Source organism: Homo sapiens, chromosome 21, assembly GCF_000001405.40.
Source record: "Homo sapiens chromosome 21, GRCh38.p14 Primary Assembly".
Taxonomy (NCBI): Eukaryota; Metazoa; Chordata; class Mammalia; order Primates; family Hominidae; genus Homo; species Homo sapiens.
In genome coordinates, this window is record NC_000021.9 from 15,521,160 (window position 1) to 15,536,480 (window position 15,321).

Below are 15,321 nucleotides of genomic sequence, written 5' to 3' on the forward strand. Positions count from 1 at the left end.
CTTTTAGACTCTAGTTTGGAGGTGCAAAAGATGGGTTTCAGAAAATGCAAGAAAGCATCACCACACTGTCACAGGATCTTTGGGGTGTCACATTTCCAGCCAGTAAACTCTGTGGCCAGGGGCACCTTTGCCTGAGTTTTGCTCAGGCCCACTGGGCTCCTTCCACCCACTTGGCCTGGCAGGCTGCGCTTGGATCATGCTACCAACCTGGATCCTCCACCTGCCAAGTGTGAGCCAGGCATGGAGTGGTGAGGGGTGTGTGAGAGAGTGTGGGGTCTGGCCACTGTGCATAGCCAGATATTCTGGCTATGGTAGGGCAGGCAGCTCCAGGTACTGGCACGAGTGCCTGCTCACTGCAAGGCTATGGCTGGACCAGGTGTACTGCAAATAGCTGCCACAGCTGACACCAGGAAACACAGTGGTGCCTGGAAGCTTGGAGACACCAGGAACTACAGAGCCCCAAAGAAGGTGTCACTGCCCTGGCTCGGGGAGCTTCTAGGCCTGGGCTCCCCTAGGGGCCACAGCTCTTCTCTCCTTCTTGTCACCTGCAATATGGCGAGTGAGGTGCATGTTTCAGCACTGCCTGTGTTACAGCTCTTTCAGCCCCACCATTTGGCAGGTCTTGACTTGTTGTCCCGCATCCAGGAAAAATGAGGTATGTGGACAAGTGAGCAAGGCAGAGAGGTGCTTTATTGAGCAACAGAACAGTTCAGAGGAGACCTGTAGTTGGTAGCTTCTCTCCTCAGGCAGGTCGTCTGATGAATCTGCAGCTCTCAGCAGAGAGGAGACCCTGGAGTGGGTACCTCCTCTACGCAGGCAGGTCATCCTGTCTTCTGCTGAGCTCTCAGTAGAGAGGAGACCCACAGTGGGTAGCTTCTCTCCAGAAGCAGGTTTGTCCTGTCATCTTCCTGAGTCTGGCCGAGTCCAGGATTTGTATGGGCTTCAGAGGACAGGAAGTGCATGCTGATTGGCCCATGGGTGATTATGGGCAGGCCCTGAAAAAGCGCCATTAGTTTTCATTCTGGTCCATGGAACTGACATCCTGACCCGCAGGCTTCTTGGGTCATCCCTGGCCTGAAGCTAGTGTTTCACTGGGGACCTGCCCCTTTGCAGCCAGGAGCCTGTCTGCCTCCTGCTGCCATTAACCTGCCATCCACAGAGCCCATGGCGCCCAGGCTGCTTGTGCTGAGGGGCACCTGCAGGCCTGTGCCAAGCCGCCCTTATCCCCACCTCGACCTCCCTTCCATGCTTGTCAGTGCCCAAAGTCCAGAGGGGGCTGAAGGGGCAGGGGGCTGGCATGTCAGTGCCACTGTGAATCCCTGCAGTATAGCCATTTAAATATTGAGGGCACATTCTAGATGAGTCCTCATGTGGCAGAAGTGGCAAACAAACCCCCTTGGGCCTCTTTTTTTAAGGGACATCATCTCATTTATGAGGGCTCTGAATTCATGATATGATTGCTTCCCAGAGGCCCAATATCTGAATATCATCATATTGGGGGTTAGGATTTCAATATATAAATTTGTAGATATTCAGACCATAATAGACCTTCCAACCTGCATAGCTATAGCTTAATTAATGTTCACAGTCATCAAAAAAATAAGACTACAGACACAACCACAGTCTTATAAGAAGGCTTGCGGAAAACTTTAATTTCCTATCTCCCATCAGCTTTATGAATAACTGAATCATTGAAAAATAAAAACCGAAAATCTTATTTATTATATATTTTATTGAAAACTGGTTAGCAACAGATAAATTACAATAGAGCCTGGATATAAAAATGAGAGAAGAATGCAGACTTACAAGCTTATAGAGAAAGTCAAAAAGGAGCAAGTTTTTGAAATCAGATTTTATGATACGGAAAAAAAATTTCCTTTTTTTGCCAACAGGATTATTTCGAATAATAAATCTGCCAGTGCCAATCAGAAACACCATTTCCACAATATTTGCATGCCCCTAGTTGCCTATTTTATACATATCGACTCCTTGAGCTAGGGGTATTCGTGTCTCTAAAAGGAAAACGAGTGTATTGTATAGGTTAATATGTTTTCTGTTTATGGGCACAATTCATTCTCAACTTCTGTAATGTCTCAGGAATAATTCATAATATTGAACAGCTGGTGACAAGTAACATACAAAAATTATATCCTACAATTTCCGTATGTTCTGAACACGGTCTTATCAATAGCTGATAGAACATTTAGTAGCTAGTCAGCTACGGGACTTTCCAACCTAGAAGGCCTCCTCCTCCCTACCATTCAGTATTGTATATCTCAGGGCCTTTTAATCATTTCCCTGCATCTTGGTACCTGAAGGACACAGCAAACATATATTCACTGAAAATCTGAAATGACTTGAACTTGATGGTGATCTAGAGTTTTCTTCTATCTTCCTACTGATACAGGAGTGCTGGGAAGGGAGGAGTGTGGTCTCTTTAAATGATACAGAATGAGGAAGGGAAGTGCTGGGTAGAGGAAGGCATGGTCCCTAGCTAGGGCTTTACCCCCACGGACCTAGGTGAGAACAGGCACTCCTGACTTCACGCCCAAATGTTGCATTTCCCAAGACCACCCTGGCTCACCACCTCCCCATCCAAGGTCTATAAAAGCCCAAGATCCTAGCAAGGCAGAGACAGAAGCGTCTGGACATTGAGAGGACACATCAGTGGAAGAACACACAAGCGGCTGGTTGTGGAGAGCATACTGGTGGAAGAGCAGCAGAGAGCTACCTGCACTCAATAAAACTTTGCACTCATTCTCCAAGACCATGTGTGATTGATTCTTCTGGTACACCAAGGCAAGAACCTGGAGATACAGAAAGTCTTCTATCCTTGCAACAAAGTCCAACTGAGCTGGTTAACACAAGCTGCCTAGAGAGGGCAAACTAACAGAGCACCCTGTAACACACGCCCACTGGCACTTCAGGAGCTGTAAACATTCACCCCTAGACACTGCCGTGGGGTTGGAGCCCCACAACCTGCCCATCTGTATGCTCCCCTAGAAGTTTGAGCAGTGGGGCACTGAAGAAGCAAGCTACACCCCCACCACACACCCTGCAAGGGGGACAAGGGAACCTTTCCCATTTCACTACCTACTAAACTCATTAAGAACTCAACAAAATGGCCATTATGTCATTGTTATAAGTCTGGTCAAACTCTTTTTATTCTCTAGTTGGGCAGCAAGATTTTACTCTACAATCCACTGCAGCTTCCCATTGATGAATTTTGTTCTTTGAACTGGAGAAACTGTAAGCACAGGAGTACCTGTTGTTTTCAATTTCTACCTTGCATAAACATTTGAAGAAGTTTGACTAAAGATAATAATGTTACACTTTTTTTGGCTTTACAAATTAGAATTAAACAATGATGTCTTTACTTGATTAAATCTTAAAGCCAATTAATGGCAAACAGTTACTGTGAAATTAGTCAGATTCTATAATTTGAAAGAAACTTGCAATGTGATCACACAATTTAATATTTATGAATAATTTTCTCATGACTAAAGAGATACCTGTTAATGGGCTTCTAAAAATGAGATTCAGTAATTATCACTTAAATAGCTCATTGTCTGTTTCAGAATTTTACCAGTCAAGCTTTTTTTCATTTCTAATGCAGAATTAGAGGAGGGTGGAGAGAAACCGTAGTCACTATTCTTTCCATTATAGTTGTCCACTATCTTATGTCAGTTTCCCAAAGGTATGGTGGAGTAATCATGGAGGTCACCTTTGCTTCTGGAAAAAAAAAAGCTTCATTTAAATTACCTTAGCTAGTACCAATTTTTTTTTCAATTCTATTTTAGTCCTTTCCCCCCCTGCTGCCACCTCATTGTTTTACAAGTAATGATAAATGTGATAATGAGTAATGACATCTATTCATGGAAAATGTGAAAAGTCTGAAGTTACAGTATTTTTCATTAGGAAAATGTGTCTCTAGCAGAGTTAGGCACCTTGACTTAATCAGCCTAGCTCCAACTCTGTAAAAGAAATGAATTTTCCTTAAATTTCAGAGTCCCCTTCTTCCTCCTCCTCCCCATTTTCACTCCTAATAGCTATATAAGCTTGTTCATGGTAGTTTAAGTGTAAAGAAATGTTTCAACTCTTATTTGTATCCATTAAAATGCAAATGATGTAGGGTTTTCTGATTGTTTAATCCCTGGGAGTTTTTGGATATGAAACATTGAGTACATGTTTTCAAAGTGAATTCTTAGTATCCTTCATCTGCTCCCTTCCAATATGCAGAATACAATGAATGATTAGTGTTAAACCAGGAAAGCAAGATGTATGTAGAGATTAAAAATGACCTTGCTTTCTTGATCTCCATTTGGGACTAGCCATATGGTGCAGAGAGGCTATCTTAAAAACGTGAGGTCACCCATGTTATTTCTATAGCTCTTCCATATCAGGATTTCAAACAATTTATCTCTAAATTGTCATTGATAGTATGTTATTTGACCTCCAACTAAAATAATACTACCTATGTAATTAATGTAAGAAAAATGATCCACCATAAAAATCTGTCAGTTTTATATAAATACAGCCTTTTGTCAGAGGGTTACTTGAGAAAAAAATGGAGAGTTGTTAAACATTTGAATACCACGCATTGATGCTTACAAATATAACATATCTATATAGTAACAATATCATACCAAACATATATGCAAATTTGTAATATGAATATTACTAGTTAAACATTTGAATACCAAGCATTTATGCTTACAAATATATCTATATAGTAACAATATAATACCAACAATATAGGCAAATTTGTAATATGAACATTACCAAGATAAAGTTTAAATGCAACAAAAAAGAATGAAATTAATTTTGTTATAGTAGAGAGGTAGGTAAGAATTTTTTAAAAAAAGAAATAAACATATGTACATTATATACATATATGTACACACACATAGTTTTCTTGGCTTCTGAACTTTCACTGAGTAATATCAACTGCCTTTTTTAAGGTAACATCATAATCCAAATATCTCTTTCTGCAAATTCAAGGCAAAGCAATATGATACCCATCTTCATTATCTTTCCTTTCTCCTTTCTCATCACCAAGGCTACAGTGTGTTATCCAGATTTGTCCTTTCTTGGCTCATTTCAAGCTTCATCAAACGTTACCTATTTTGTGTATCATGTCCTCAAGTCACCAGTCAATATAATATCTACCTCCTACTTTAATATGTATGTGGATACATATATTACTCCATGTAACATCTGGGGAAAAGAGGTTTAAAACCACAACTCTTACCATGACAATTCACTGTCATGGTAAGAATGCCAGGCAGGCTAGTGTATAAGGTACTAATAACTAGTACCTTTCTGAGCCCTTGTCTTACTTCTCAAATTAACCAACGTAATGAGCTTTCTACTCTTCCAAAAAGTAAGATCTACTTTGAAGTGTGGATATTCAAGAACCATGTTCCCAACCAACATCCAAAGCCAAAGCAATAAGCATGTTGTCAATTTCGACTCTTTCTGTGAAGACTCTATCAAACATAGATTCTTGGATCTACCAAAATATATCTCCTTTTCCGTGATCTTGTTTTCACTTTAACTGCTCGCTGCAAAAAAAAGAAAAAAAAAATCTTAGCTACATTACTTTTAACCATAATAGTTGCTTTCTGATCCTTACAAATAATATTTGGGTATAAACACCATCAACAAACTTCTCTTTTCCAGTTTCTGGCCCAGGATACAGAAAGCCTTTATCATTTCAGGCTCTTGCAAGCATTTTGCAATCACTTTATGTCCCAGGCAATAAATATTAATTCCAGTAAGTGTTTACTTAAATAAGTTTGTGGCCACTTGCAGAACCCATTATGTAACACTCCCTACAACTCTCTGCCTGCCAAAATATCACACTTTGAACAAGGCTTTTGGTTCAATCAGTGTATCAGCCCAATACATCGCTGCTTCTAGCCTCAACATCCTTCCCTTCTTTCCAGAGGAAGAAGGTGGTAAAGTCGTTTCCTTCCATTGCTGTGAATCAAAAGACATTTGACCATTTGACAAGGGCAACAGAATGCTGCCTGCCTGCTGTCTATCCAAAAACAAGGAGGAATTTTGCAGGAGTGTTGCAAAATAAAATTCTTCATTCAGAAAGATTTTTATTCAGATAAAAAAATTGGTTAACGAATGCAGCTTTAATTGCTTCTAGAGTTTGAAAGGGATTGTTTTTATAATATGCTATTACTTTCACCCAATTCATATTATAAACCATTCCAAGGCTTTAAACAAAAACTAAAGGGAACATATCTGTAAAAGTAACAACTAGCCTTGAATATAAACTTGGAATTAAATAAAATTATGTTATATGCTACAAATTAATCAAAAATTAAATATTTATATCATCATTATTTAACTTATTCACTTCTTGATTAATTCATCAATTCACATGTTTTAGAACCACAATTTATGCTTATGTCACTTCATTATAAAAAGAAGGCTACATAGAACAAATAATTAGAAAAAGTTTCTATTCTTCATACACATACAAGAGCTTGCATGATACACTGAATACTCTAGATAAAGTTATGCCTTTCCCATTAATAGATGTAAAGATGCAGGGATGAAGAGGAAACTGAAAGTTCCTAAAAATTAGTCCTTATATCTCATATGCCTGGAAATGTAACCCAACATTCTATCAAAAGAGATTTGTAGTGGATTCATATTAGAGAGAGACACTGAAAGCCAAGCACTTAAAACAAATTTAATTTGCCAAAATTTCAAAGTGGAAAAATTTCAGAAGCCTTCTGACACTTACCAGTGCCATAGGAATTATGCATTTACTGGCATCATGCATTTGTAGTCTGAAGAAATACAGTAATACTACATGGATTTCTGATATATTAAAATGTCTTCTTTCCTAGGGTGCTAAGGCAAGTGCACTCTATGTTGGTTGCCTGAGCTCGTAGCCTTATCACTCTTAAGTTTGTGTTTAGTAAGTATATTATTTTGAACTAGAAGTGAGGTTGGTTTTGTAGTTGTTAACGATTTGCTTTCTTGTGTACATTTGATCTCTCTAAAAAAGATACAAGTGTACTGAGGACTGGGATGGTATCTTTCATATCTTTTGCACAATCCAATTGCATTAGAACCATACAGTGCTCCCGGTGCCAGCATCACAGCTACTCATCAGGACTGAATTAGGAATCCAACCCATTAACTGGCTCGGTGACCCTGGACAATTCATTTTACCTTTTGAGACTCCTGGTGCTTCCCATATAAAATGAGGTGACTACATTCTTTCTAAGATACTTTCCAGTTATAAAACTCTATGATGCTTAATTAAGGAAGCAAGTAAAGGAAGGAAGTTATATGAATGTGTGGGGAACCGTGATACCCAAATTCACAGCATAGACTGCCAAAATCCTTGGCAAAACTATTGATGTGCTGGAAAACCAGAGGGGAGCATTATGAAAAAGCAGGCAGAGACCAGAGAGAAATCTGCTCCTTAGAGCTAGAGCAACGTGGATCCAAATTTGTGAGCTACATGCTTTTCTTTTTTTCTTTAACTGAATTTTCCAATTATGTGCAACCTGGGTGGTAAAAAGCCTGAAGTGTCCAAGTTTAAAGACAAACCTGACAGAACAGCTGAAAATTAGGAAAATTCATAGAAACATGAAAACAACAGAGAGAATGATCCTAATCATTGCCTAGTTCCTCATCTCTGCCCAAATTTAACAAGCATGGAGGAAATCAACAGGGGGAGAAGCTTTAAAAGCAACAGTAGGAAGACATTAGAATGGGCTGGAATGATAAACAGCTGTCTACCATGGGAAATGAGTAGCGGGCAAAGTTTCTAGATTGATTCTAGGCAACGTAACGCAATCATAGAACTAAAATCCAATCTTCTGAACAATATGATGACTCTAGAGTTGCTACAGTGTGTTACCTATAATATCCAGATTTTAATCCAAAATTAGACTATGTACAAAAGAAAGAAAAAAATCAGGAAAGTATGAATCTATCCTCAGGGTAATAAAAACTATTCTGTTGTGAGTTTTCTAAGATTTACCTGAAATAATTCATCTTCAACTCTAAGTAATTGGGATACATGTCAGATACATATTATAATGTCTAGAACAACTTCCTTAAAAAATGCAAAGAGGCTGGGCATGGTGACTTATGCCTGTAATCCCAGCACTTTGGGAGGCCAAGGCAGGCAGATCACTTGAGGCTAAGAGTTCGAGACCAGCCTGGCCAACATGGGAAAACCCCATCTCTACTAAAAATACAAAAAAAGTAGCCAGTAGAAGTGGCTCAGGCCTATAATCCAAGCTGCTCGGGATACTGAGGCAAGAGAAACACTTGAGCCTGGGAGGTAGAGGTTGCAGTGAGCCAAGATTATGCCACTGAGCTCCAGTCTGGGTGACAGAGCAAGACTCTGTTTGAAAAATAAATAAATAAATAAAACAAAACAAAGCTATATTGAGGAGGGCTAAGAGAGAAATTAAAGTGGAATATTAAAATTGCTTAATTAACATAAAAACAGAAAAAGAAGAAAACAAAAGTAAACTAATAAAAAAGTGAATAAGACAAATAAACGAACCAAAATAAAACAAATGTTGAATAGCAGACCTGAATAGAATGCTATCTTTAATTATATTAAATATAAATGTACTAAACATGCCAATCAGAAGACAGAAATCATTAGTCTGGGTTTTTAAGAAGGCAGGACAAACTATATGTTGCATATAAGATACATTTTAAGTAAAAAATACAAAAGTATGTGCTCAAATCTTTGACCCCGACATGGTTTGGCTCTGTGTCCCACCCAAATCTCATCTTGAATTGTAATCCCCATGTGTCAAAGGTGAGATGTGTAATCTCCACGTGTGGAGGGAGGGAGGTGACTGGATAATGGGGGAAGTTTCCCCCATGCTGTTCTTGTGATAGTGAGTGAGTTATCCTGAGATCTGATGGTTTTATAAGTGTTTGACAGTTCCTCCTTCACACACTCTTCTCCCTCCTGCCAACTTGTGAGGAAGGTGTCTGTTTCTCCTTCCACCATGATTGTAAGTTTCCTGAGGCCTCACCAGTCATGTAGAACTGTGAGTCAATTAAAATTCTTTCATTTGTTTATAAATTAGCCAGTCTCGTGTACTATCTTTATAGCAGTATGAGAATGAACTAATACAACCTCCTATTTTATAATACAACCTCCTATTTTATAATGTTATTTGTCTTCTTATTGAGTTGTACGAAGTCTTTACGTATTCTAGATATAAATACTTTATCAGATATATATTTTCCAATTGCTTTTTATATCTCTATTTTTCCTCATAGTATCTTTTGAAAAGCAAAAGGTTTAATTTTGTTAGAATCCATTTTATCAATTTTTGCTTTTATAGTTTGAGCACATACCTCAGTAAAGATACACTAGTGCCAGTAAACAAAGCATCAGGGAAATACAAATTAAAACTACTGTTAGTTACTAGTATATATCTACTTGAATGACTAAAATTAACAAGTCTGACAATACTAAGTGTTGGAGAGGATTTGAAGCAACTCTAGCACTCATATATTGCTGGTGAAAATGTAAAATTTCATAGTCACTTTGGAAAGCAGTTTAATTCTTTATAATAAAGCTAGTTGAAAACCTACTGTATGATATGGTCTGGCTCTGTGTCCCCACCAAATCTCATCTCTAATTGTAATCCCTACATGTTGAGAGAGGAACCTAGTGGGAGGAGACTGGATTATGGGGGCAGTTTCCCCATGCTGTCCTCATGATAGTGGGGGTGTTCTCACGAGATCTTGTTGTTTGACAAGTGTCTGGCAGTTTCCCCTGGATGCTCTCTGTCTTTTGCTGCCATATAAAATGTGTCTTGCGTCCCCCTTTGCCTTTCACCTGATTCTAGATTTCCTGAGACTTCCCCAGTCATGCAGAACTGATAGTCAATTAAACCTTTTTTCTTCATAAATTACAGTCCCATATAGTATCTTTATAGCAGTGTGAAAACAGACTAATACACCATATAATAGCATTTCTACTACTAGAAATTGAGCCTCTCTAAAAAACCCACTGATTTCCACACAAACACTAGCAAACAAATATTTGCAGCAAACTGTATTCATAATAGCCTAATGTACAAATAATCCAAATATCCATTAACTGGTGAATAAGTTTTAAAATTGTGGTATGTAGAAAGAAATAATATTTAGCAATTTAACAGATGAATCTCAAAAATACTGTGCTAAGTGAAAAAAGTCAGCCCTTAAAGGCTATATACTCTATAGTTCCATTTATGTGGAATTATGGAGAGGACAAAGTATAATAACATAAAGCATCTCAGTGATTATGAGGGGTAGGGTGGGTTAGGGAATTGACTTCAATGGGGCATTAAGAGAATTTTGTCGGGAAGATTGAAATGTTCTATATCATAATTGTTGCAGTAATTGCACTACTCTATATATTTTTCAAAACTCAAAGTGCATACTTCAAACTTATGAATTTTGTTGTAGGTAAACAACACCTCAATGTAAAAAAAATGTTAATGTTTAAATAGATGAGCTTGATGAGTGAAGAAGAAATAGAAAATCTGAATAGAGCTTCAATCATGCAGTTTGATTTCATAGTTAAAGTTGCATTCCTTCAACAACACTGAGAAAGAAATTCTAAAACTTACAAATGGAAACAGAATCCAGACAGCTTTACAAGGGAGTTCATATGATTTTACAGTGAGGTTAGCAAAGGAAAAAGATGCATCAAAGTCTAGAAAGTCGAGGCAAAATCTCTCTTCCAGGTAGGTCTTAGAATAGATTGCATAGAACACATTCCTTGTTCTAGCAACAAAATGCTGCAATATATGTGCTGGGATTTTGCCCAGGATAGCCCACTTGAGATTTAGAGTTCAAGGTTTTTACTGGGGGACAGGTCACATCAGAACTTTCTCCCGGTGTAGCCAGGAATGATTATCAAAGTTCTAGACTCCTAGGAGGAAAGCAGGTATTTACCATCAATCACACTGTTTGCACAGTATAGGCAAGGAGGACTCAGTGCCTGAGGCATACAAGACAGCCGGATTCTTTAGTAACAAAAGGAAAATTCCAAAGTCAAGTTTTCAGACACCAGCCAAGGATTAGCAAGCCCTTCGAAGAGGAACATCAGACCTGCTACAAGACTCTTTCCTATACCATAGGGGAGGCACTTCCTTTCCTTAGCTGCAGTTCAATCTAGCTGGATTTTTTTCCCCCAAAATGTGTAGAAATGGCCTAACTAAATCCTCCTCAAAGAAACTGATCACCAGCCAACCAGCTTCATCTACTGAAATGTCAGTTTCACCTCCACAAGTTTCTTCAACAAAGCTTTTGAATTTTAGTGATTCTAACTTCTTCTCTTTGTTCACTAAGGCTAGGAGTGGTCACTGCTGCCTGCGATTGCTATTTCCACAACTTAATGGTTTTTTATATTTTTTTCCTCTTCTGAGTTACATTAACAACCACTTACTTTTAAAATATTTGTATGGAATCACGTGTGTTAAAGTAATTTCTGTGGTTGTTCTGGATGCTGACTAATAAAAGAGCAGAGGCATCTTCCTTTGGCAAAAGTTACTAACAAATAAGAACTAGTAACATATGTTCATTCATTATTCTCTGTTTTGGGTACTATATTTGTGGTATGAGGCAACTGTGACAGTGGCAGCAAATTTGCTTATATGACCTATGATGACACCTGAGGTAGGTGACTGTGAAATGAAATTTCAGCATCACCCCTTATCCCCAAAATGCTCTCCTCCAGCTCTTCCAATGACCTTTCAAGTGCCTGTTATATTCTTCCCTCCTTGTAACATCTAGAGTGATTTTTGTTTCCTGAACTGAATTCTAATAGATATATAGGCGATTTATCAAAAGAGTGCAGTAAACAACATACTCAGTAGTGAAATTTTAAAATTATTCCCCATAAAATCAGGTGTGAGATAAGTATGCTCCTTCTCACCATTTCTATACAACATTGCATTGGAAGCAATAGAGCTGAAGAAGTAAGTGGAAAATGGTAGGGAAGAAAACAAAATTGTCATTATTTGCAATTGATAAGATAATCTACATAAAACCCCCAAACATAGCTTTATGGAAAATTAGTATGTATCACAGACATAAATACATTCGATGCTGCACTGTGTCTACTTTTGTAAGACAGGAAGAATATATCTGAAATGTTTAGTAACCTTTTTTCAAAAGCAGATGAAATTACATCCAAAATCATCAATAACTGAAGAAGTCTAATAGGGCTTACTTCTAGAGGATTCCAGGTGAATGGATACAACCTTGAGCTAATTGCACAAAAGAAATTGTGTCTATAAGCAGGTCAATTAGCTTGTTTCACTAGAACACAGTTAAAAAGGTAGTTCTCCAATCACTTTGATTTTCAGAAGAGCTATGAGCTTGATTCTTAATGATTATTTAACATAGTTGAGCTTTAATGGTTAACTTGAAATTTTAAAACCATAAAACTTTATAGAAAATGAATATCAAAAGTAAAGAAGCTGTTAAGACCACAGTCACTGTACATAGGAATTTTATCTCACTGCTGTAAATCGTGAAATCCTGCCCTCAACCATAGTGTACGAACATGGCCATTTCAAAGATGCACCTCTGTGACATTTCCCTGGATTTCTCCACGTAGGAATTTCAGCGGTTATTCTCTGCAGGTAATTGCAGCTTCCAGAATAACCCCAGGTCACTGAAACACCTTGGCTCTACAAACAACCCATTATTAGGCAGATTACATCAAGAAAATCCATCCTGCTACTGCTGTGGAGATGTGAATTTATGACATTGAAGAAAAAAAACATGCAAAGAGGTTTCTGGAGTCTCTCTGTGGTGAAGGCAATGCTCTATGGACACATTTTATTCAATCACACTTAATGAATGAGCCTCACTCCTTGGTTTTCTTCATCCTCTCTGTCTCGTAGAATCCTTCTAGGGAGATATATATATATATATATATAGTAGCTGTGAATTAACATTTGTTCTCTAAAAACACAAAACTTGGTTTCTACTATCATACACTTAATACAAAACTCCCACAGTTCGTCTACGACCATTGTCTCCATCAGGGTCAGGTGAGAGGATGGAAAACATACGAGATTTTGAACAGGGAGAATGTAATGTAAATAATTGTCAACCAGGTATGAAGTTGTGAACTAGGAACTGAAAAGATAAAAAGAGGACGCTAATGTATCATGGAGGCAGCAAATGTAGGAAGCAGATACCATCCTTATGGTTAAAAAAACTAAGGGACATGATTGGATTTATTAAAATTTAGAAACTTAGAGGAGGGGTCTTGCATAACTGAAACTCAGGGCTTTGAGGAGGGCTACTGGTTCAGTTGCTCAACAGATTCTGGTGTCTTTGAGCTTGGAAGAGCGGTCCCAAGGGGCTGAGACCCAGACTGTAGAAAACAGGATACTGTTAGCAGATGCTGGTGATTGTTAACTGTGACACAGTGAAGCTTGTTTCACAAGTGTTTAAAAAACTGTTAACTGAATTCAGCTACTGCATACAGAATTACTACTCCTGCCTGGGTGAAGAAGCGCTGCCAAAATGATGCTTACAGGAACTGCAAACGGACAGGAAGTCAACAAGGAGTAAATAAGAAAGACCAGGTTCCTTCTTTCTCCTCCAGTCCTAGTCTCCGTCTTGTGCCCCCTTTTGGCAGAGCATAACAGGAAATCAGGGGGCAAAGCAGAAATAAGGTTTGCAGAGTTCCAGCTTCAGGATCATGAAGCAATTATAGAAATGTGGTTTGAGCTGAGAGACAATAGCTGAGTAAGTGGCACAACCATACACCGAAAAGTCTTCTGAAATAACTGAAAATTGATTCATGATTAATTACACTACGGTATAGCTAAACTGCTTATGTAGTTTTGTAACTTACTAAGAAGTTGTATAATTCAGCATAGTCTCATAGTTTTAACAAAGAGAAAGAGATAAGCATTCAGTTTCCACTCCCTGTTCATTATGGAATACAAGGAGATACACTGTGCATCTGAATGTCCACTTTGATTCCTGTGTGAGAAATATCGAACCAGCTTGTGGCTTCCAAGAATAAAATTAGTAAAATAAATGGACAAACATGTAAAAGACACAAAATTAAAGCATTCTTATCCTCCAAATCAGACCAAATAAACCTTATCTCAAATGATATTTCTAAACAGTATACCCACTTCTAATCCCCCTCTACCTCCTGACACATACTTAATAACAACTAGAATTTCTAACTTCCACATACACCAAAAAAAATTTATTACCATAATTTATAATAATAAATAATTAAGAACATCTACCTATTGACTTTCTTATCGTGTGTTCACCACTTTAAAAAATGAATCAACTTTCAATTATCTATTTCTTTTTGCTACATGATAAGTGACTAGAATGTAATCAGTTTTTTAATTTTTATTTTAGGCTCAGGGGTACATGTGTGCAGGTTTGTTATATAGTTAAACGCATGTCACAGAGATTTGTTGTACAGATTATTTCATCACCCAGGTACTATGCCTAGTATCCAATAGTTATTTTTTCTGATCTTGTCCCTCCTTTCACCCTCCCTGCTCAGTTAAGCCCCAGTATCTGTTGTTTTTCTCTTCACCAAAAGGTTTTTAAAACCTGGTTTTGGCCAGCGTGTAAAATCATGTGCTACCACATCTTGTTGAAAATTTAATTCACATTTCCATGCAGGACAGAAGTTTGGTTTTATGCACCATTTATGCTCTAAAATATGCTCTATCCTTCCTATAGAAAATGCATTCCTAGAAATTATCTCTAGGGAGATAGTTACATCCATATAAAATAGATTTAGCTGGAGATTATTTTATCAGGTTTTTTAAAATAAAGCAGATGAACATAAACCTAAAAGTTTTGCATAGAATCCTGGTTAAATAAATTACACAAGTAATGAAACACTATGCAGTCAGTAAACATGACTGGTTAGACATACCTTTTATTAACATAGAGCAAGCTATAAAACATTCATTCATTCAAAAAATATATACTGAGTATCTGCATTGGCCAATGTACCAAAGAGTGACAGAAGAAAAAAAAGTCCCTATTGATGTAAAACTTCACATATGTTCATATGAACACACACACATACACACACACACAGATGTCTGGTGGGACCTTCTCAAAAATATTGAGTCATTCGCTAAAAAATAAAGTGGTTTTCTCCCAGTGGGGGACTATAGCTGATTTTTACTTCAGTCTTTTATGTCATGTATTCGCATGAATTTATTTTACAAAAATAATATAGCCACTTAAAAAAATCCTATACCTATTCAAAATCGAAGGCAAAGACTATTACTACCACTAAAC

At 37.8% G+C, this 15,321-nt stretch overlaps 1 long non-coding RNA gene across 1 annotated transcript in view; it reads right to left on the reverse strand.

Annotated features, from left to right (window-relative positions):
- Positions 1-1,712: 1,712 nt before the first annotated feature.
- Positions 1,713-15,321, reverse strand: part of LOC105369302 (uncharacterized) — a 104,389-nt gene continuing 90,780 nt past the window's right edge. Inside the window, exon 3 of the long non-coding RNA XR_001754972.2 lies at positions 1,713-5,564. This is a non-coding gene — a long non-coding RNA (uncharacterized LOC105369302). The remainder of the gene's footprint in view (positions 5,565-15,321) is intronic.